The 24186-nt window shown below is 38.0% G+C and overlaps 1 protein-coding gene across 12 annotated transcripts in view; it reads right to left on the bottom strand.

Moving 5' to 3' along the window:
- ADGRV1 (adhesion G protein-coupled receptor V1) overlaps positions 1–24186 on the bottom strand; it is a 605641-nt gene that overhangs the window by 55274 nt on the left and 526181 nt on the right. For all 12 annotated transcript variants that reach the window (NR_003149.2, XM_017009963.3, XM_017009969.3 and 9 more), the window contains one exon: positions 6824–6945. Coding sequence is in view for 11 of the 12 variants with exons in the window: in XM_017009963.3 (XP_016865452.1) it covers positions 6824–6945 (122 nt within the window). In the remaining variant the exon portion in view is untranslated. The remainder of the gene's footprint in view (positions 1–6823; positions 6946–24186) is intronic.

The following is a 24186-nucleotide window of genomic DNA, read 5'->3' as shown; positions in this document are numbered from 1 at the left end:
CGTTTAAAGAAGAGTATTCAACAATAAAAATTAACAGTAAACATTTAGAATGATGATTTTTAAACCTTACATTTGCATTTGTATCCATAATGCTTTGCAAAATATTACACATACATTTTCCTAAATGTGCAAATGTATTGTAAGTTTGGTAGTTCACCTTTGAAATTTTAGGAAGTGATAAATTTTAGGTAAATATTTTAGATAATATTTTAAGTGATCAAGATTTTCTTACTTAAAGTGCATCAGACACTAAATATCAAAAAATCAGGCTACACATAGTGGCTCATGCCTATAATCCCAGCACTTTGGGAGGCTGAGGTGGGAGGATCACTCGAGGCCAGGAGTTCAAGACCAGTCCAGGCAACATAGTGAAACCTTGTCTCTACAAAAAAATAAAAATAAAAAAATAGCCAGGCATGGTGGTATGTGCCTGTAGTTCAGCTACTTGTGGGGATGAGGCAGGATTGCTTGAGCCCAGGAGTTCAAGGCTGCAATGAGCTATGATCACGTCGTTGCCCTCCAGCTTGGGAGAAACAACGAGACCCTGTCTCAAAGGAAAAAAAAGACTGTAGAGAAAGAGGACAGAGGTGGCTAGAGATCCTGAGATCTCAGATTCTAGAATGTGTGTTTAAAAATATTTTTTAAAAAACTTAAAATGATCAGAATACTATACAAATACCATCCCTTTCAATCATAGTTTTAGAGCACCTATGACATCATAATAATCTAGATAAAAAGTAAGTCAGTAATCTCCTCTGAGCAAAATGTAGTAAGCAAGTATAAGATACATAATATGCTTTTATGGTCACAGGTGTTGATAAAATCAGTAGAGAAATATGAAAGCCATTCGGGGGGTAAAAAAACAAACAAGTGTTTATGGAACATACTTAAAAAATCTTACTGTTAATACTATGTAGCCATATTCCATGGAAATGCCTAAACTGAATACCTCAAGCGATTTTTAAGTTAAATGAACCAAAATAAACTCCAGAGAAAGGATATTTTCCAAGTGTTTCTTAATAGGCATTACTTTTAGGACTGATTCACTAAGCATCTGGTACCAGGAATGTGCCAGTGCGCCAGGTAACAACCAACAGTAGTACAAATAATCATTGCTGCTTCAGTAATGTCACCTGGATTGAATTAAGCTCATTAAACATGAGTTTAAAATATTTTTAGTTTTTACTTATTCTTAGCTTCTAATAAGTTCTTCAAAGAAAGAGACCAAAATTTTTTCTTATATGTACCAGTGACATATACTATTATGTGTCACAGTCCTCCTTTCTTTACAAACCTCCATAAGAGCTCAATAAACTTTTCCTGTTTATGTGATTTGATAGGTTACCCAGGCTATCATTATAATCCTAAGGCTTATATTTATTTAATTACTGCTGACTGGCTCAATTACAGATTTAAGTTGTCTAATCTCCATTGGATCCCACTGATTTCTCTCTAAGCAATCCATTTCTTGATGATCTTTCAACATAGTTTAAGTTATTTCTGTTCTGTCTAGAAACTGCTCCATACCTTTTTAAAATTTTTATCTCATGCTTTGAACCCATTCCTCTCAACAAATGACCTTGCCTCTTGCCTTTAAGAGAAAAGAGAGGGCATTACATGCAAATGCCAACATTCCACACTTTCAGCTCCAGAGTAGTTTTTCATGTTCACCAATCATTTTTTCTTTCCCCAGCCTCAGAGAAAAACAAAAACAAAAACAAAAACAAAAACAAAAACAAAACAAAACGAAACATTCCTACTCCTCCCTCAGAGAAGCCCTCTATCTCTTCTGTTCTTCCTGCCTCGTCCATGATCTTGCCATGGCAACAAATCTTTCCTCCAGATGTCAATTTCTCCTTTGTTGGTTCTTGTCACGAGAAAACAAAACCAAAAAATCTCCTTTGAACCAACCAACCTCCCTTCCTAAGCTATTTCTTTCTCTCTTTGCAGTCTCTATTTCACTTTTTTTTCTCAAACTGTAGTTCCCAGACCAGCCGAATCAGTACCACCTGGAAACTTATTAGAAATGCAAATGATCAGATTCCACCCAGACCTACTGTATCAGAAACTCTGGGTGTGGGGCCTATCATCTGTGTTTTAACAAGCTCCCCATGGAATTCTGCTACACATAACGGTTTGGGAACCACAGCTGTAGACCGCATTGCTCCTCAGTTCTCATCCTATTTAACTTCTCTGCTACACTAGCCAGAGTTAGGCATTGCGTCCTCTTGAGCTTTCTTTTCTACCCGCAACTGCAAACCCTATCCAGGTTCTCTTCCTAGCTCTCTGATCACTCATTAACAATTTCTTTCATTAGCCTTATCTCTGTACCCAGTTGCTAAAACATTGGTATACAGTATTTAGCAACGTCTCCTAAATTTCACCAACTTCACTGCTTATTCCCTAGACCTTGCTATTTATGTGATCTCCATTTGGACTAAAGATGTCAGTGCCCAGCCATTCATTCAAACCAGGAATTTCTAAGTGATGTTCCTCTGTCACACTTTACCTTCCTATATTTAATTGGTTAACCAAATTTCATTAATAGTTATCTCATGCTCCTCATGGGTCAGAAGAATTAATATTGTTAAAAGAACCATACTAGCCAAAGCAATCTACAGAGTTGATGCAATTCCTATCAAAATACCAATGACATTCTTCTCAGAAATAGAAATATAAAATAAAATCTTAAAATTTGTGTGGAATCACAAAAGACCTCAAATAACTAAAGCAATCCTAAGCAAAAGAACAAAGCTGAAGGCATTGTACTATCAGAATTCAAAATATACTACAAAGCTATAGTAACCAAAACAGCATGGTATTGGCATAAACAAAGACACATGGACCAATGGAACAGAATAGAGAAGCACAAAATTAATCCACATTATCTACAGCCAACTGATTTTTGACAGAAGGCAGCTAGAACATTAATTGGGGAAAGGAAAGTCTCTTCAATAAAGGTCGCTAGGAAACCTGGATGTCCACATGCAAAAGAAAAAATCTAGACCCCCAACTCTCACCCTATACAAAAACCAACTCAAAATGGATCAAAGACCTAAATGTAAGACCCAAAACTATAAAATTACTGGAAGAAAACAAGGTGAAATGCTTCACTTTATAATTTTATAAATAGATTCATATTTATAAAAGGTTTATAAATATAAAAGGATATTAAATATAAATAAAAGATTTTACAGGCTATTAAATATAAATAAAAGGTTTATAAATATAATAAGAATCTATTTATAAAATTATAAAAATCTAAAGATTCTTATTTATAAAATCTTTCCCTAGACCAATGTTCTAAAGCATTTATAAAATGCTTATTTCATAAACAAATGGGATTATGTCAAACTAAAAAGCCTCTGCACAGCAGGAAACAATTAACAAAGTAAAAAACACAACCTAGAAGATGAGAGAAAATATCTGTAAACTATTCATCTGACAGATAATTAATATGCAGAACATACAAGGAACTCAAACATTTCAACAGCAAAAGCAATCTGAATAAAACAGGCAAATGATCTGAACAGTTATACAAATGACCAACAAATATATGAACAAATGCTCAGCATCACTAATCATCAGGGAAATGCAAAACAAAACCACAGTGAATTATCATCTCACCCCAGTTAGGATGACTATCATCAAAAAGACAAAAAATAAATGCTAGTGATGATGCGGAGAAAACAGAACTCTTCTACACCGCTGGTGGGAATATAAACTAGTACAACCACTATGGAGAACAGTATGGAGGTTCGTAAAAAAAATTGCCAATAGAACTACATATGATCCAGCCATCCCACTACTGAGCATTTATCCTAAGGAAAGAAAATCAGTGTATTGAAGAGACATCTGCACACCCATGTTTGTTGCTGCACTATTTGCAATAGCCAAGATGTGGAATCAACCTAGGTGTCCAACAACCAATGAATGGACAGGGAAAATGGTAAATTCACACAATGGAATACTATTCAGCCATAAAAAAGAATGACAGCTGGGTGCGGTGGCTCATGCCTATAATCCCAGCACTTTGGGAGGCCAAGATGAGTGGATTGCTTGAGTTCAGGAGTTCAAGAGCAGCCTGGGAAACATGGCGAAACCCTGTCTCTACAAAACAAACAAACAAACAAACAAAATTAGCCAGGCATGGTGGCATGTGCCTGTAGTCCCAGCTACGTGGGAGGCTAAGGTGGGAGGATCACTTGAGCCTGAAGTGGAGGTTGCAGTGAGCTGAGTTCGCGCCACTGCATTCCAGCCTGGGTGACAGAGTGAGACTCTGTCTCAAAAAAAAAAAAAAAAAGAAAAGAAAAGAAAGAAAAGAAAAGGTTGGTGCAAATGTAACTGCAGTTTTTGCCATTACTTTTAATGACAAAAATCACAATTATTTTTGCATCAACCCAATATTATTTATGGCAACATAGATGGAACTGGAGGACATTATGGTAAGTGAAATAACCCAAGAACAGAAAGTTAGACATTGCATGCTCTCACTCATGTGTGGAAGCTAAAAAATGTTGATCTCATAGAAGTAAAAAGTAGAACAGAGGGTACTAGAAGCTGGGAAGGGTAGGGGGAAAAAGGGGATAGGGAGAGATTTGTTAAAAGATATAAAATTACAGCTAGATAGAAGAAGTAAGTTCTTGTGTTCTATAGCACTACAGGATGACTATAGTTAACAATATTTTATAGTTTCAAAGTGCTAGAAGGAGGATATTGAAACTTCCCAACACAAAGTAATGATGAATGTTTGAGATGATAGATATGCTAATTCTTTTAATCTGATCACTACATGTTATATGTATCAATACGTCACTATGTACCCATAAATATACAATTATTATGTGTCAATTAAACAATAAAATGAAAAGTGTTTATCTCTGTAACAACTGTCAAACCTGTCACCTACTTTTTATTCCCAGGCACACTGCCAGAACATCTACAGTCTGAAATATAACAATAACCTACCTACTTAGAGCTGCTCTTTTTTTCAATATCCTCTCCTAAACATTTCCAGTTATCTTTCCAGTACAAACATGTCATCCCATTCAAAATGAAAAAAAAATTAATTGACAAAATTAAAAAAATTAGAACAATACAAAGAAAAATCACAACTTCGATGGCTTCCCCTTGCTTAAAGATTGAAGCTCAGCATCCCAAGCATGGAAAGCCGGCGTTTAAACCAATCTACCCTTTCTGTCTCCTCTCCTACAACTTCTTCTCTAATTGCAAGACCTTTCTTTTTCCTTCTCAACACGTTGCTTAATCTAGGCGAGATTAGTCATTTTCCCTTCTTGCAGCCTTGGCTAACAGTTTTCTCTGCCTGAAATTCCCATCTCTAACCATACACTCATTTATTATTTAATAAGCATTAAATGTGTCATAATCTCAGGGGCAAGTAAAATGAATGAAGTATATCAGGTCTGCTCAGGGCTTGGAAATTGCTGCCATGCAAATACTGCCTTCAAAAAAAGCCAGCAATTCAGGTTTTTAATGTGAAAATTCTCAATTTTAAAAGTTTGAAGCAACTATTTGAAAATCTAAAACAATCTTTCATATAACACTGTGTGTCTGCCAAGCAAAACACACCTGCAGGCTGTCAGTTTGGACCTTGTTCTTAGTTCCACTAGGCCCTAGGGATCTAAAGGTGACCAAGACTGAGCCTCTGCCCTGATGGCTCTGCCCTGATGGTCAACAGGCCCCTACTCACTCTCAAAATGCTCTCTTTACATGGCACCTGCCATACTAGATTCTTAGAGCTGATTGTTCACTCTTTGAATCATCAGATCCCAGAGAGGCCGGACTGTCTTCTTTACCACCTGGCAATAGTAAGTGCTCACCTGTAACTATAACCACAGACAGTTGTCTATATAGAAACTTGTAGCAACTTGGTTCTAAACTTTTAATTGTTTTGTATTTTCCCCTTCCTAAGTTGATAATGTCCTTGATTAGGCACCATCATGTAAGCTATGATCTAACTGAAGAGTTTGTCTGCTCAGGTGCAAACCTAAAAAATGACTGGAGTCACATTTCAATTGTATGCTACAATTCTGAAGGTGTGTATATGTCTGTGTGTTTGCCACACATGATCCTTGCAAGATGGTAGCCAAAAGAAGGACTATTTAGAGATAATTTAATAAATTTAAGAAATTCTTTTAGTCTAGGACAGATCGTTTCACTTTGGAAAACAAGGAAAATGTGTTCATTTGTTCCATTTGTTAATATCAGGGTGCAACATTTTTCCATTTAACAAAAGTACTAAAAATCTCAGCTTTCATTTTTGCTGCAGTTATATAATTTCTAGTTATCCAAGCATGCTTATAAAACTAATTTAAGCTGGGCACTGCTGGACTTAGGGGATGTCAGTCATGTTTTAGTGAACCAAACACTCTCATTTCACTAAGCATCACACTTAAGAGGGGACTGCTTGAACATCACTATTTCACTCCTCAATTGATCTAATTTCTAGACCCAGCCACAATCCAAATATGTGCATTGATCTTACATGACTGCCATTTGCAAAGTTGATAAACATCAATCCTACTGAAAAAGAAATATGTTTGTGTAGTTACTTCGATGTTCAAAATGAAGGAGAATAAATATTTTGTCTTCCCTAATTGTATAATGAGCAAGTTAGAATCCCAGTCATATTTCAAATGTTAAGGATTTAGGTTCCTATCATTTTATTTTACAACTCTATATGATGTTATTATGTACACAAATTCACCTGTGTGTGGATGCTTGACTCTTTAATATTGAAATTCTATGCCTTGTGTTCATTAAGATAAATGTATGTTGTCACTAACCAAATTGTAAGGCTTACCTGCAGACTGTTGAAAATGACAAAGAGAACCAACATCCAGAAGTGTCTGTAGGCCATGTGTAGTCCTCCCCAAAGCCATGTCACGGAAATCAGAGCAAAGAGATATAAAATCAGTGGAATTTCTAGAAATAAAAAAAAAAGAATTTTTGAGCTTCAGAATACTGCACAGTCACATGTATACACAGTTATTTTTGGCTTCTTTCTGTGGTATTCTAGTGCCCATTTTGAGAGAACAACCTTGGAAATCCCATTCTTATGCCAGAGGGGAGAAGGCACATTGCTGAGTCCACATTCTGTTTTGCAAATGGGGCTGCTGGTAGGCCCAGGGATGGCTGGGGGAGGATGAGAACTGTTCCTCTCCTAGACTACCACCTGCTGGACTGTTCAGTAAGTACCACAAAGCAACAATGGATTTGTAGAAATCTCCTTAAAAGACTGTTCCACCAGAAAATGGCAGGCAGTAGTGTGCTCCCGAAATTAGCATATTCCAACCAGGCACTTAAGAACAGAAATTATATAACATCGTGCGTGTGTGCGTGTGTGTGTGTGTGCATGCGCACGTGTGTGTGTGTTGGAAAAACCTGTACTCACATCTTTTTTCTGACTGAGAAGACACCAAAATTTATTGGTAAGTTTAAGAGCAAAGATGAAGTGACTGATTCATAATGATCAACTAAACTTATTCTACACATGTTCTAATGCAGTTTGTTTCAGACGTTTTCAGAATAGATTTTCTCAGGGCCAAGGGACTTTATTACCCTTTCCACTTGTCTATTTTGAGTTTTCTTTGCTATCTGAGTTTTAGAATAATAACCATATAGAGGCGATCTTAATATTTAAGTGACAAGTTATATAAGATTTAGAAAGTGAATCGGATCTTTGCAGCCACAAATAAACACATTTTCAAGCTGTTGAAAGACATCAGGGTAGACCACACCACTGACAACTTTCATGACAGACCTCAAAGCCCTTCTTTACCCACTATCATCAATTAACACCTAAAATCCTCGTCCACTATGGAAATTTAAACAGTTGCTTACAACTTTAGCAATTTTCAAATTTAATTTTACTTGGAAACAATCTCAAACATACAGAAGACGTGCAAGTAGAGTACAATGAGAAAGTTTTTTTTTCCCTGAATTAATTGAAAATTGTGAATCTGATCCCCCATTACCCTCTGAATAATGTGTATTTTCTACAAAGACATTTTCCTACATAAACATGATGCCATCAAATTAGGAAATTAACACTGATATAGTACTATCATTCTCAGATTCCATTTTATTATACCAGTAATTTCCTTTTTAGCAGAGAGATCCAGAGATCCAGTCGTGTATAGTTGACACGTCTTCGTAGATTCTTAATCCCAAATGGGTCTTCTGTGTGTCCTTGACTTTTGTAACCCTGACACTTTTGATGATTACCAGCCAGTTTTTCTTGCAGTGTCCTTAAATTTGAGTTTATTTGATTTTTCTCGTGATTAGATTTAGATTATAAGCCGTTAGAAATCACAGAAGGGATGCTGAGTTCATCTTACAGCATTCTATAAGGTGACGCAAGAACTCAATTTTTCCCGTTACTGAAGATGTTCATTTTGGTCACTTGATTAAGATGATGGCTGCACAAATTCTTCACTGTAAAGTTAGCATTTTCCCCTGTGTAATTAAGAAGTTTTATATGTGGCATTTCTTTGAAACTATGTAAATATCTTTTTCCTTATCAAATGTTTGATTTATCCACTTATTTATCTTCTAATGTAGACTAATATATTCCTGCTTATTTAGCATATTATCCATTATTCTTTCTTTTCCCCTTCCTTCCTTCCTTCCATCCTTCCTTCCTCCCTCCCTGCTTCCTTCTTTCCTTTTTTGTTTTCTTTCTCTTTTCTTTTTCCTCTCCTTTTCTTTCACATAGGGTCATACAAAGTCTTTCTCCATTGCCCAGACTGGAGTGTGGTGGTGTTGTCACAGCTCACTGCAGGCTTGACCTCCTGGGCTCAAGCCATCCTGCCACCTCTCAGCCTCCCAAGTAGCTGAAACTATAGGCGCATGCCACCACGCCCACTTAATTTTTGTACTTTTTGTATAGATGGGGTTTCGCCATGTTGCCCCGGCTGGTCTTGAACTTCCGGGCTCAAGCGATCCGCATGCCTTGGCCTCCCAAAGTGCTGGGATTACTGGTATAAGCCATGGTACCCGGCCACTATCATTGTTTATTTCGATGCCAAGTTGTCCCTAGCAGGAGCCCTTTCAAGATGGTTTCTGTGACTTTGGTTATATCCTCATCATTCTACTAGCAGTTGTTTGCTTTTTGGCCCAAGATGTTTCAAATATTCTCTGCCCCAGTCCTGGTTTCTTTTAGGGGAGAATGGTATTTAGAAACTGTGATCTGGGGCTAGGTATGGTCACTGCTGTTGCTGCTCCTAAGCTCTCTTAGTAGATAGAGGATACACATGCATATGCACACACAAACACATTTAGATCTGTTTTACTCTATCTATCTCTATATATTGAAATTCATTAGTTCATTTCAATGCTTCTAATTCCAACCCAACATCACGGGGTTAATTCCAGTTTTCTCCCTTTCCATATTTGTAACTTTTCTGTGTTGGTAAGAGATCTACTTCTCATTATTCTTGAACTCCTGGACTCAGGTGATCTGCCCACCTCGGCCTCTCGAAATGCTGGGATTACAGGCGTGAGCCACCGCACCCCGCTATTGCTTATTATTCTTAATATATCTACTGATTCGATCCACTCCCCTGCATGTAACCAACTTCCTATTGCTGTTACCCATTCCCTCGCTCAGGTGGCCTCCCAAACTCACTCAGTGTCCCACAATTCCAGCTGGGCAGCACTGCACCCCTCACATGGATTCCTTCCTCACAACGATTGGCTTCTGACACCGAGGCTTGGGCCCCTTCCTGCAGATGCACACCTTGCTCTGTACTACCTGGTGGCTGTAGATGGAATTGTTCGGGAAAGGGAGGAAAAAGAAAGAACAAGGAGAGGAGGCAAAGAGGGAGAAAGGAAGTGGTGAGGAGAAAGGGAACCCGAACACTTTTTTTTTTTTTGAGAGAGAAATAAGGCTTTAGAAGGGACCGTGCTGATATATGCCCTTCATCACAATATATACAAATTGTCAAAATTATTATTATAACTGTACAGGGAAAGTAAGACTAATACAAGAAGATTTACGTAGATGAATAATTTCTTTGTCACTAATGCTTTGCAGCAGGACAAGAAAATATACATTAAGATTTATTTAATTTTTAGAAAAATTCATTTTTATTTAATGAAATAATATAATTTGCTAAAGGGCCAGAAGGCTCATTTTTACTTCTGACAAGATACCCTAATATTTAGAAAACCCCTAAGCTGTGCTCACAAAATTTTCAAAGATTAGGTATCAAGTCTGGCAACTGCATTCTTTTCTTCCACTGTGTAAGAACAAAATTCTATTTATGGCTCTGGGCGGAGTACAAAGGGACATGCACATTTTGTATGAACAACTAGGAACCAATTTTCAAAGTTTGGCCTGCATGTTCATCTAAGTGCTTAGAGCAAAGCGAGTGGTATGTGCTGACAGAGCTTAGTGGAGAAGCTAAGGGAGCATACTGGGGCTCATGAGAATGTCCATGGCTTATATTTTCCTGGAATTCTGCAGAAAAGTATAGTAGTTTGGCACCCCAGACTAGAAACTCCGTAAGGAAAAAGCTAGTCATAAATAACTCAGCATACTTAATAGATCCCAGGCTTGCCTTCCAGAAGTACAACAATGATTAGGATGATGATTTCAGATAGAAGAAACATATCCAGAGGCATATCCAGATTTTGTGGGCCTGAAGCTTATATTAGGGAGGCTTCTTTAAAAAACAAAAGTTACAAAACCGTAATTAGGTGCAGGATCTTGGAAGGGGCCAAGGCTGGTGAAAGGACCTGAAACTTAAGCTACGTTAGCTTTATGGTTAATCTGCCTCTGAGGAGGCACCTTTAACCCTCTTTAGGGCCTAAGTCAAAAGGAAAGAGGTATTGGGAGGGGGTGATGGTGATGAAAGTTGGTTGGGGGGCATGTTGTTGTTAAACAGTGACTATAAATTCCATTTGGCAAACTGAAAAACAGTGCTCCATTCAATTGAAAATCACTTTGGTTTTATATTTCCTAAGCTGTTATTTCGCATTTGATGAACTACTAATAACTTCTCTGCTGTCTATAATTCAATATTTACCAAAGAAAGCATTTGTAATTGGTAATATTGGAAACAAGTTGTGTTTAGGAGTGAATTAGTGAAGATAAAACAGAATCATTTCAATGTTCTCAATAAAAGGAGGCCCTAAAAACACAGTGTTGCACCCAAGAAATGAGTATCTATATAAGACTGTGCTATATAAAATAAAGGACTCCTACAACTTAACAACAAAATACCCATTCAATCCATTTGAAACATGGACAAAGGACATTTCTTTTGAGAAGATATACAAATGGCCAATAATCACATGAAAAAATGCTCAGGATCACTAGTCATTAGGGAAACGAAGATCAAAACCACCGTGATACCATTTCATACCCACTAGAATGATTATTATCAAAAAAACAAGAAATAGTAAGTGTTGGTGAGCATATTTAGCAATTGGAACCCTTGTGCATGCCTGATAGAGATGTAAAATGGCACAACTGCCGTGGAAAACAGTTTGGTAGAACCTCAAGATGTTAAACACAGAGTTACCATACGATCCAACAATTCCACTTGTAGGTATATATTCAAAAAAGTGAAGGCACAGGTACTCAAATGGATATTTGCACACCAATATTCATGGCAGTATCACAATAGCCAAAAGGTGGAAACAACCCAAATGTCCATCAACAGATGAATAGATAAATAAAATATACTATTTGCATATAATGTGATATTAGTCAGTGCCACGTTCTGAATGTTTGTGTCCCCCCAAACTTTATATGTTGAAACCTAATCACCAATGATAAAATTAGAAGGTTGGACTGCTTGGAGGTGATTAGGTTGTGAGAGTAGAGCCCTCATGAATGGGATTAGTGCACCTATAAAAGAGGCCCCAGGGTGCTGTCCTGCCCCTTCCACCATGTGAGGACACACCAAGAAGGCATCATCTATGGACCAGAAATCTGGGCCCTTGCCAGACACTGAATCTGCTGGCACCTTGATCTTGGACTTTCTGTCTCCAGAACTGTAAGAAATACATTTTTGCTGTTTGTAAGCTACCTGCTCTAGGGTATTCTGTAATAGCCTAAACATACTGAGATACTGAAGCTTAAAAAGGAATAAAATTATAATATATGCTACACCATGGATGACCCTTGAAAATGTTATGTGAAACAAGCCAGACATGAAAGGACAAATAATAATTCCATTTACACGAGGTGCCTAGAATAGGCAAATTCAGAGGCAGAAAGTAGAACAGAAGTTACCAGGGGCTGGGAGGAGTGCAGAATAGTGAGTTATTGTTTAATGGATATAGAGTTTCTGTTTGGAGTGATGAAAAAGTTCTGGAAACATGGATAGTGGTGACAGTTGCACAACATTGTCAGTGTACTTATGTGACACTGAAGTGTACACTTAAAATGGTTTAAGATGCTAAATTTTGTTATGTATATTTTACTACAATTAACAAAAAAGAAAAAAGACTATGCCAAGTAACTCAGGCTGTGTCAAGATGAAGTTCCACTGCAGGGAGAAAAAAAAATCAAATCATCACAGTACTTAATTTACATACTTAAATTAACAAGGAGTCACGAATGTGAAAACCAAAATAGTTTGAAAAGGTTTTAGTGAAAGAAATTACTTCTGGAAAGGCAAAGAAAACAAAACAAACAACAACAACAAACAACAAACCAGCAAGTAGATACGTCAATTAGTGCTACTATCATTAAGAAAGTCTACTCATGGGAGTTAGTAGATTCCATTGAGATTACATCACATCTCTTTATTTTTAGTGAAAAATATTATTTCCACGAATTTAACTGCCATTTTTAAAGAAAGTATGGTGTTGTATTATCTGTTTTCTTTGTAATTGCAGCCTTGGCTTTATTGCTATGCACCACTGACAACAATAATGGCTTTATTATGGAAATCACACTCCATTTACATGAAGCTGAAATTTATTCTATGTTTACAACCTTCCAAAGTACTTGTTTTAATTTTACCTCACTGACCTTCTGATACTAACAATTTGGAATGTGCTACTAAAACAAACCCATCAATGTAAAACATAGAACACAACTGTGAAAAAATGTGGATTTAAGATATCAGCCAAGTGCAGTGGCTCACGTCTGTAATTCCAGCACTTTGGGAGGCTGAGGTGGGGGGATCACCTGAGGTCAGGAGTTTCAGATGAGCCTGGTCAATGTGAAACCCTATCTCTATTAAAATACAAAAATTAGCCAGGCATGGTGGCTACTCGGGAGGCTGAGGCAGGAGCATGACACGAACCTGGGAGGTGGAGGTTGCGGTGAGCCAAGATCGCACCATTGCATTCCAGCCTGGGCAACAAGAGTGAAACTATTTCAAAAAAAAAATTTAAATAAAAAGATATTAATGGATCTATTTCCAACAGTAGGCACACATTATTTTTAAATTAGAAAGATAGATTGAAACAAAAGGGTATCAAAGAGCCTTATTTCTAAAACATAGGTCTTTATTCTGAAATTCACAGATACTTAGAGACAAGGATGTTTCCGTGATCTGAATATTTTCTTGGTGAGAAAATATTGGTGTCCTTGAGGTTTCCTGACAAGGATTAACACCAGTTCCGCAGCAGTCAGCCCCCACTGTTCTCAGCAAATAAACTGAGGGTCATACAGGAAGGCAATAAGGCACATATTTCACAGAACTGCCAAATCACCATGAGGATACTGTGCATGGGAGAGTGAACAACAAAGTTAAAGACTGGGGTCAGCCTGAGCAACATGGCAAAACCCTGTCTTTACAAAAACTACAAAAATTAGCCAAGTGTGGAAGCGCATGCCTGTAGTCTCAGCTACTCAGGAGGCTGAGGTAGGAGGCTCTCTTGAGCCTGGGAGGTGGAGGTTTCAGTGAGCTGACTGTGCCACTGCACTCCAGCCTGGGTGACAGAGTGAGACCCCGTGTAAAAAAAAAAAAAATACTGGGTTTGCAAATTGTTCAAAGAAACACCCTCCACCTCATTTGGGTAGCTGGCATTCCTAACCCTTAGTCATTAGTTCTATACTCAGATCTAATTTTAGAATTTCCTTGTCTTTTCAGCAGTTCTCCAACTCACTTCCAAAAGAGCTCTTGAAAACCCATTCAGATAATAAGAAACTCACTCTAGGTCCTTTGGCCTCTGTCTCCAGATACGGTTGCAAATATTTGTTGCAGCAGGCTAGACTCTATCAACACTTATTATGTGCCAGGTTCTTCATTTTATTAAGATATCCTTCCTAAATTAATAATCTCCAATGTTATCTTCCTCCAAGCACATTAGGGCCAACTCTTTCTGAATCTGCATCTTCACTTCTCTTAAGCTCCAGGCCTGGAGATCCCCAAACCACTTCAAACAGAGTTCCTCCACAGCTGAATTTAGTATCCCTCTTCTCATCACACTTTTTCCTCCTCCTGAGTACTGGTATCACCATTCGCACCGATTTACCCTGATGCCCCATTTTCCTTCATATGCTGCATCAAATTAGTCAACATATTTTGTCTATTTTATCTTCTAAGTTGCTCTGAAATTTGTCCTCTACAATCCTTCCTAGAACATTGTCTTTCCTGAGGACTTCATCTCTTTTAGTGAACCTATTTTGACAGCTTCGTAGGTAGAGCTGTCTGTTCCAATTCATCCCTCCTACTCCTATTATGGCCAGAGAAACATCTTTTTTTTTTTTTTTTACATAGAAGGACTCTCACTCTGTTGCCTAGGCTGGAGTGCAGTGGCCTGATCTTTGCTCACTGCAACATCTGCCTCCTGGGTTCAAGCAATTCTCCTGCCTCAGTCTCCCGAGTAGCTGGGATGACACGTGCCCACCACCACGCCCAGCTAATTTTTGTGTTTTTAGTAGAGATGGGGTTTTATCATGTTGGCCAGGCTGGTCTGAAACTACTGACTTCGGTGATCCGCCCGCCTCAGTCTCCCAAAGTGCTGGGTTTATAGGCGTGAGCCACTGTGCCCGGCCCAGAGAAACATCTTTTAAAAAATTATGGCTGGGTGCAGTGGCTCATGCCTATAATCCCAGCACTTTGGGAGGTGGAGGCTGGCAGATCACTGGAGGCCAGGAGCTCGAGACTGTCCTGGCGAACATGGCGAAACCCCATCTCTACTAAAAATACAAAAATTAGCTGGGTGTGGTGGCGCATGCCTGTAATCCCAGCTACTCGGGAGGCTGAGGCAGGAGAATTGCTTGAACCCCAGAGGCTGAGGTTGCAGTGAGCAGAGATCGCACCACTGCACTCCAGCCTGGGTGACACAGTGAGACTCTATCTCAAAAAAAAAAAAAAAAAACTTACGTATGTATACACGTGATACACACGTATGAATATTTAAAAGTTCATGTTTATATGTATTTTCATATATGATCAGGCCATTTAAAGGCTAAAAACCCTTTAACTGCCTCCCATATCATAAAAGATAAACCTCACCACCAGTCCCTGCCTACTTCCCAGTGAATGCTCTCTAGTCTTCCAGGCACCCTGAGCACACTGTATTTCTTCATGCCTGTATCTCTTTGTCATTACTTGTTACGTGTCTATCTCTTTCACCAAGGTTATTAAGTGCACTAACTCAGTCTATCTTACTTATCTTTATATTCCCAGTGCCTAGCACATGGTCTGGCATAAGTAAGTCACTTAATGTTTGTTCAATAAAAGAATTGTTGATGTGACTTGTCGATATGACCCTGCTTTTTACTGCTGCTCTTTTCATCTGAAAGCTTGAATTTCTTTTTAGAGAAGCCCTGGACTTCGAAAGTACAAGAATGAAGAGAATGCATTTCAGGGAAAAGTTAATTTGCTTTGCAGCAGTGGGTCTAAGGTACACTAGTCGTTTAAGATATGATCCATGGAGGAAAATAAATGCTCTGTGGCAATATTCTGAATGAGGATGAACTCGAGGGATAGATAGATCTGCATCTGGCTTCCAATTCTATCACTTTTGAGCCTGTTGGGTGGGCCTCAGCCAAACTCCTTAACTTCTCTGTACCGTAAGTCCTGATAAAAAATAAAGGATAATTGTAGAAATTTTAATAATTCATGCATCAATTTGGTAAGTATTAGTTAATGCTGATAAGACAAATTCCATGTTCCTATTGAATACCTACTGTGCTAAGCGCTGGAAGTAAAGAGATGAGCCAAGGCAGAGGCAGCCTCTACCTGTGTGGATCTGCACTCCAGAGAGGGAAACCATGCACACAAAGCACTCAGCACAAGGCCGGGCATCAGGCACATGTTCAATAAGCACTAGCTACTATCATCCTAATTCTCACCACCATCAGTTTAGTCACGTTAGGAAAAGAGCACATGGCTATAGATACCCTGCAATTGTTGCTTGTATTGTTCTCATATGGGTAGTATTTTTCAAAGAGCAACCATGGCCCTATTTAATTGACTTCATCTCTCATCTTCTATAGTTTTCCAACTTTATTTTTCTTACTCTGCCCCTAAGTTTCCCTCCATTCCCATTACCTTGCTGCTTCTCATCTTGTCTCATTCTATTTCTTCCTTTGTAGGTTTGAAGTTCTAAAGTATCACATAGTAAAGAAACATGTTTAAGTTTTTTATATATATACCAGAATCTCCCATATTTGTTTGGCTATAGAACCCTTTTGTTTATCCTGATGTAATCAGGTGCAAGCCTAGACTTTGAGGAGTATTGTTTTCAGCATGCAGACCTGAAGTTCTATCACATTCAAACTGTCACCAAAAACTTCCTGACTAACCAACTTAAAATGGACCTCTTGGGCCAGGCATGGTGGCTCACACCTGTGATCCCAGCACTTTAGGAGGCTGAGGCGGGTGGATCACCTGAGGTCAGGAGTTCGAGACCAGCTTGGCCAACATGGTGAAACCCCATCTCTACAAAAATTACAAAAATTAGCCAGCCTGGTGGCAGGCACCTGTAATCCCAGCTATTCGGGAGGCTGAGGCAGGAAATTGCTTGAACCTGGGAGGCAGAGGTTGCAGTGAGCCAAGATTGCACCATTGCACTCCAGCCTGGGTGACAGAGCAAGACTTTATCTCAAAAAAAAGGACATCTCAGCATCTTCTATTTTCCCTGCCACTCTCTCTTTTCTAACTCAGTTTCTTCATAGCACTTACTGACATCTAACTTACTATATGATTTATGTGATGGTTACTTTTATGGGTCAACTTGACTGGGTTAAAGGAAGCCCAGATATCTGATTAGACATTATTTCTGAGTGTGTCTGTGAGAGTGTTTCCAAAAGAGATTTGCATTTTAATTCGCAGACTGGGTAAGCAGATGGCCCTCCCTGATGTAAGTGGGCATGACCCAACACCTTAAGGGCCTCAATAGAACCAAAAAGGTGGAGGAAGGCTAGCTTCACCTTTCTTCTGCTTGACTGCTTGAGCTGGAACATTCCTTCTTCTGCCCTTAGCATTCCCGGTTTTCAGGCTTTCGAACTAAAACTGAAATCTACACCATTCACCTCTGCCTCTCAGGCTTTTGAAATACACCACCAGCTTCTTCAGTCTCCAATCTGCAGGTGATCTCTTGTTGGTTCTGTTTCTATGGAGAATCCTAACACAATTTACATAGTTGTTTATTGTTTAATACTCTCCTAGAATGTGAGCTCACAGAAGCATTGAGATAATTCTCAAGCACTAGTTTAATGAATTAAAAAAGACAGTTTCTGATTCTAGTTTAATGAATTAAAAAAAGGCCTATGGGACTGGCTAAGAAGACATGCTACAGTTAAAAGTAAAATTGACAAGACATGCTACAGTTAAAAGTAAAATTGACAAGAAATTGTAACCCCACTATCTCCTTCACTCTTTAAAGAGTAGGGAAGGTGCACAGAGAAATGTGGATGTCACAGCAGGGAGAGAATTGCTTTTGGGCTGCAGGAGCTTGATAAAAAATTTGAGTTTGTGGCTTGTAAACAAAGCTGCCTATGAGTAACATTCCCATAGAGACACTTCAATGGGATTGTTTTTTAATGGGAGGGAAAAAGAGAGGGAGGGAGAAAAAGTGTGCTGCAAGCATTGAATGCTTCCCAGAAACAATCCACCTTATCTAAGATTTCCATAGACATATGTCAATTCCAGGGCCATTGAGAAGTCAAATTTACTGTATAATACTGACTTTCAAACTCTGACCACAAACCACGGTGAGAAATGCATTTTACATGTGAACTACACAATCTTGAAAGAAAACTTTTATGAAACCCAAGTTAATGTATGACACACTTTGATTCCTATCCTATCCTATCCTATCCCATCCACTCTACTCTCTCCCATGCCATCCTATTCCATGTAAAATAGGTTGGCAGTGGGACTCATCAATGCACTGTGTGACCCACAATTTTTAAATTTTTGCTTTAGAAGGTAATTTAAGCAGCTTGTACTTTAGAGGTAAAGGTAGGAACAGTAAACATAACCACAGTGGAGGCTTCCACCGACTACCTTCTGACATGGATTTACCCTGACCCTTACTGATATGTGAAGGATACAAGCATGATTTGGAAAGATCTGTGCAGGTGACACACTAGATCTGCAGGCAGAGAAGTGAATCAGTATTGGCCTAGAGTATATTTTCCAGGGTTAAAGAGGAGAATGTGAGCAAATTCTCAGTGGAGTCTCAAGGTTTTCTGGGAACTTAAAACGCAGTACTTTGTCAAGAGCTGACTTAGGGCTCTCCTGGATGCTAAAAGACAGTCCAGTGTCAGGTCTACTTTGAATGTGATTTATTGGGGTTGAAAAAAAAATGGTACAAGCCTAGAATTATGGTCTTGCCTTGCAAAAGCTATATATAATTTTCAATTTGCAGGATATAATTTTGAATCTAAGGAGAATAACCAAGTTAGATGAGACATACCCACACAGACCTCGCAAAAACTATTATTAGAGTAATTCTATTTGAACCATGTACTTCAAAAGTGCCAGATAATATTTTGCTGAGGGGGGATCAAATAGATCTGTGATTCTTAAGGAAAAGGTTAAGTGCTCTGTTTTCTTCTAGTGAAGAAAAAAATTATTGAAACTATGGGAAAGGGAATTATCATTTGGGTTTACAGCTGTCGTAGTAATTTTCTACACATTTCATAAATGTTTCATAAGGTGGAATTATGAAAACAAGTTCTTAGAAGATTAGAGTTCTAAAACAAATATGAAGTCAGCCAACTAATGACTGAAGACTGGCTTAACCTAGTTTTCTAACTACATTACCAGTTACTCAGCTATTAAGGAGCTCAAAACTCAGCTACAGGCATGCTCAGGCAGCTAACAGCAATTTTCCAACACACTTAACTTTTGTAATACAATGAAAATGTACAATGCATCTTTAAACTTGCCTATGTCTGTATTTTGAATCTGGCTAAATGGTCTCATAATTTTTGGACATTAGATGACTATGTATTTGGCCATGAATAGCCAGTTATCTTTTACAGATAGTTTGATAAGACATCAGTTAGCACTCATTAAGAGTTAATAGGCTCAAATTCAATGCTGAAATCTTGAGTCAAATATGGCATGATGTCTCAGGAAAATTAACCCTAAAGATAACCCTAATTGTGCAAGAAAATATTTGAATGAGTTATCATAAATGTCAGTTCCCAGAACTATTTTCTGATAGACCCTCAATCTGGATAAATGCCAACATACTTCAAAGCTGCCTTTGTTTCTTTAATTTGGTTCTCTAACCATCACACACAAAACTGTAATACAAATTTAAAATTTGATTTGATTTTTTTTTTACTTCCCTTGCCATATCACTGTTCTAAAAGGTCTACTTGAGTTAAATCCTTTGACTCTCTATTAATGTGATTAACTGCATCTCTTTTCCCAACAGCTATCAGATTATCAAAGTATTGTCTGGTCTTAGAAATAATGGTATTTCCCAACAGCTGTATGTATATTACTTACTCTCTGTTGTTAAATAATTATATTTTTAATTAAGCAAATGGATACAAAACTCACGCAGAGCTGTTTTTAGGCATGTACAACAACGACTGACCACAAAGCTCTTTGATATCTGTGTTATATAAAGGCTTATTATTATTACCCTTTTAAACAATGGCACAATACCCACAGGTGTGGCAGGGATTTTAATGCATAAGGGAGTGAACTAATATCTTATTGCTCATTCTTACTAGCAACATTGGACTAAGCCCTTACAGAGAAAAAAAAGGGAAACAATGGTGTTCAGAAAAAAAAGGCAATTCCTGGATTGAATGCTATGTATATACTCTAGGGAGAAAGAGGCTGTCTAATACTTGTATATTAGTGATCAAAGTGATTTGTGCCCAATGATAGACTATCAAATTTGATTTCTGTATTTGCTTGTCAATATTACATGTAGACCTTAATTTTTGTGATATTTTAATTCTAGGATTTTTTTTCTCTTTTTTAAATGTAGAGTTTAAATTGTTAATGGTTAAACTGGTTCACAGGTGTGTCTGATATTATTAGCAAATATATGGTAGATATTAGAGCTTCTTTTTGCCCCAGGCTCATAACTACATGCTTCCATTTTTCTTTTTAAGAGTAGAAGCATCAGAATCTTATTTAACTCTGGGTACTATGAGTTTGACATTAATAGTTTAAGACTAATGAATGAGCAGCCATACAGTTTTTTGGTCACTATGCTTCCTAAGCTTCCCAAATGGAGCTATTTCCACTATTCAATTTCATGTTTAATAAACTAGGCAGATCTTGCTACATTCTTGTTTTGTTTCCATGCACTTATTTTTTTACCGGGTGGAGTTTGTCCAGTTACAAAGTCTGTGAAAGATGTTTGTAAAAAAAATTTTTTTTCATGGTAGCAAAGCAGCTTTAATATAACCATGGATTAAATATTTATTTGCAAATACTCTGGCATTGGGGGAAAAAGATGGGGAGAAGGAAATCACATGTCTTGGAGATTGTATAATTCAATGAGTATAAGAATCAAATGATGTTTATTTCAATTACTTATTAATTTATAAGTATTCTGTTTTACAGTCTCTATAAAATTGTACAACAGAGCTTTATGTAACTATGCAACACATTTAAATTTTTCCTATAAGCAAATTTCCACTTCTTCCTTGAAGTTGATGAATCCTAATTGTAAATCACATTATTTGCCTTCTCGAAGGCTATTTATGATAAAATTTAAAGCTTGCCTCTGTCAAATTCAATTAAAAGAAAAAGATCTCTTTTGAATATAAGCCCTCAGCCAATTAAATGTTAAAAAATGCACTGAGGTTAAAAAATATGACTGGGTGGAATTTATTCACAAAAAAAGGCAGAATGATTAAAAGCATGGACTCTGGAACCAGGCTACTTGAGGGCCTTCACTAGCTGTGTGACCTTGTATTAGTTACTTAACTGCTCTGAGGCTCAATTTCCTCATCTGTAAATTGAATATACTATTAGTGCCTCCCAAATAAGGTTTTGTGGATTGTGAGGATTTATTGGTTGAAAAGTGGAACACTTCGAACAGTTCCAGATAAACTTTGGCTGCTGTTTGTTATTCAAGAAATATATTTCTTCAGCATCAAAATGTATTAGATAAAATGTGATAGATAAAATGTTGAATTACATCTGGATCTGCTCTCAATGATTATATACATTCACTTCGGGAGGCCGAGGCAGGTGGATCACCTCAGGTCAGGAGTGCAAGACCAGCCTGGTCAACATGGTGAAAGCCCATCTCTACCATAAAAAAAAAAAAAAAATTAGCCGGGCACAGTGGTGCATGCCTGCAGTCTCAGCTACTTGGGAGGCTGAGGCAGGAGAATCGCTTGAACTCGGGAGGCGGAGGTTGCAGTGAGCCAAGATCAAGTCGAGTGCACTGTACTCCAGCCTGGGCGACAGAGTGAGACTCCGTCTCAAAAAACAAAAAACAACAACAAAAAGATTATATAGTTGTGCATATTACATATATATTTGTATATACCCTATAAGAAAAGGTAGGAGATAAGTATTATAAGAGAGATTTATAAAAGTTACATAAAAATTCAGGGAAAACAAGAGGTTCTTCCTATTGATGATTATCAGGGAACTTTGGGGAAAGAAGAAAGAATTTTGGCTGGGCCATGAAGATGGGCCATATTTGAACATACAAATATTGAGGCAAAGGCAGTGAGAGCAGCATAAAGAGAGGCAAAAAGCAAATGCATAAATTACTGTAAGTTGTTCCTTTTGGCTGGTGTTAAAGGTTCCCATGAAGGTGAGTAACGAGATGTTTGTAGCACTAGGTCATGAAGGAATATTGAGGGCCAGGTTAAACAATACATAATTACTTTACAGAAAAATGGAGTGCCATTTTAAATTTCGGAGAAGAGGTGTGGCATATTCACATAGCTTAAACTCACAGGAAAGAAAATAGGTTGGTGGAGAGAATGCTAGAGGCAGGGACACCAGTTAGGGAAGGATTGCTGTGGTCTCAGTAATGAAGGCCTGAGGTAGGGGAATGGCATAGGAGTGGCCCCTGCAATGTAATGAAGGGGTAGGCACAGAAATTTAGAGACAGAATCTCTAGTAGTACCCTCAAATCAGAAAAGAGTAAGAGAGCTTAAAAATATACAGATTGTGGGACTTCATCACCAGAGATTCTAATTTAGTAAGTCTATAGTGAGACTCATCAAACCATAATTTCTGAAAGCATAAGCAATTCTGATGATCAGTTAGTTTGACAGCCACTCATCTGAGAGTATGAGTATGAAGTGAAAGAAATTACCCTAGCTTTTAGGTTAGGAAAACCAGAAAAAGTATCAAGAGGAAGAAGAAAAGAAAGGAGTGAAAGAATAACACTGAGATCAGAGCAATTAGGATAAGGCAGAGGAGCAAAGTTGATGACAATATCTGTACATCTTAAGGACAAGCGATCAGAGAGAAACCCAAGTGAATGTATCCAAAAGACATTTGAAAATGTGAGCTTATATTTGGAGAGAGAAGTTAGGCTCAAGTTGATAGATCTGAAAATTATCACTATGATATAAAAAATGCAAAGGCAATCCCTGGAAAATACATATACTTCAGAGTTTTCAGGCATAAGAAGAAAGGGCTATGACCTGGGAGTTAGCAGGAAAATACTTGTAAAAGAATAGGGTGTCGTGAAAACCAAGAGAGATGGACTTTTCAAGGAAGGCTGGTTATCAGTACTGATTTCTACAGAAGAATTGAAGGATATGCAGATGAGAAGAGTGGTCAGTGGATTTGGTGTCCAACGTTATGAGTGATGAAAGAAAGAGAATAAGCAAGGTACTCTGAAGGCTTAACTGTGAACACAAGGTGATGAGAACAGGCAACTTGTATGAACTACTCTTCAAGAGTAGTTGTTGGTTAAAGAAAGAAGAGAGGCAGGGCAGTAATTTGATAAAGCAGCGGCATTACGAGTAAGCTCTTCTAGGCAGTGTAAAGTGATACATATTTCTAGATGGACAAGAAAGACCTACAGGAGAGAGAAATATTTAAGATGTGAGGCAGTTGTGGAAAATTCAATGAAACAAGTTCCAAGAGTAGGAAAAACAGATGAAAGGCACAATTGGGAGAGCTGGCTTTGGTGAGAATGAGCTACTTACTTTCTCATCTAAGATGAAACGAAAAATGGCAAAGAAGAGAGACGGCAAAGAGAAATGATCAGAGAACATAAGGAAAGTCGTGTGAGATAACAGCATGTTGTTTTCATGTCTTGACTAGACAGTGAGGATAGAATGTATAAAACACAGACTTCAGGGCAGTAGAATCTGTTTCAAAGATCGCTTAAGACTTATCAATTAAAAATAATCCAAAGGATGTCTCAGAAGCAGAGATGGCTTAGTTAAGAGTACTTATAATAAATAAGTATCCGTTACAGAGTAGCACTAATTGGCTGACAAAAGAGAACTGTGTGGCATAGAGTGGGTTGGTGATTGGCAAAATTTCCTTTTTTCTATATATATGTGTGTATACATATATAATATTTTTTAACTGTACTTAAAGTTCTAGGGTACATGTGCACAACGTGCAGGTTTGTTACATAGGTATACATGTGCCATGTTGGTTTGCTGCACCCATCAACTCATCATTTACATTAGGTATTTCTCCTAATGCTATCCTTCCTGCAGCCCCCCATTTCATGACAGGCCCCGGTGTGTGATGTTCCCCACCCTGTGTCCAAGTGTTCTCGTTGTTCAACTTCCACCTATAAGTGAGAACATGTGGTGTTTGCTTTTCTGTC

The sequence above is a fragment of the Homo sapiens genome, chromosome 5 (assembly GCF_000001405.40).
Source record: "Homo sapiens chromosome 5, GRCh38.p14 Primary Assembly".
NCBI classification, from domain to species: Eukaryota; Metazoa; Chordata; class Mammalia; order Primates; family Hominidae; genus Homo; species Homo sapiens.
The sequence above is the reverse complement of the archived record's forward strand: the minus strand, read 5'-3'. Positions and strand labels throughout refer to the sequence as shown.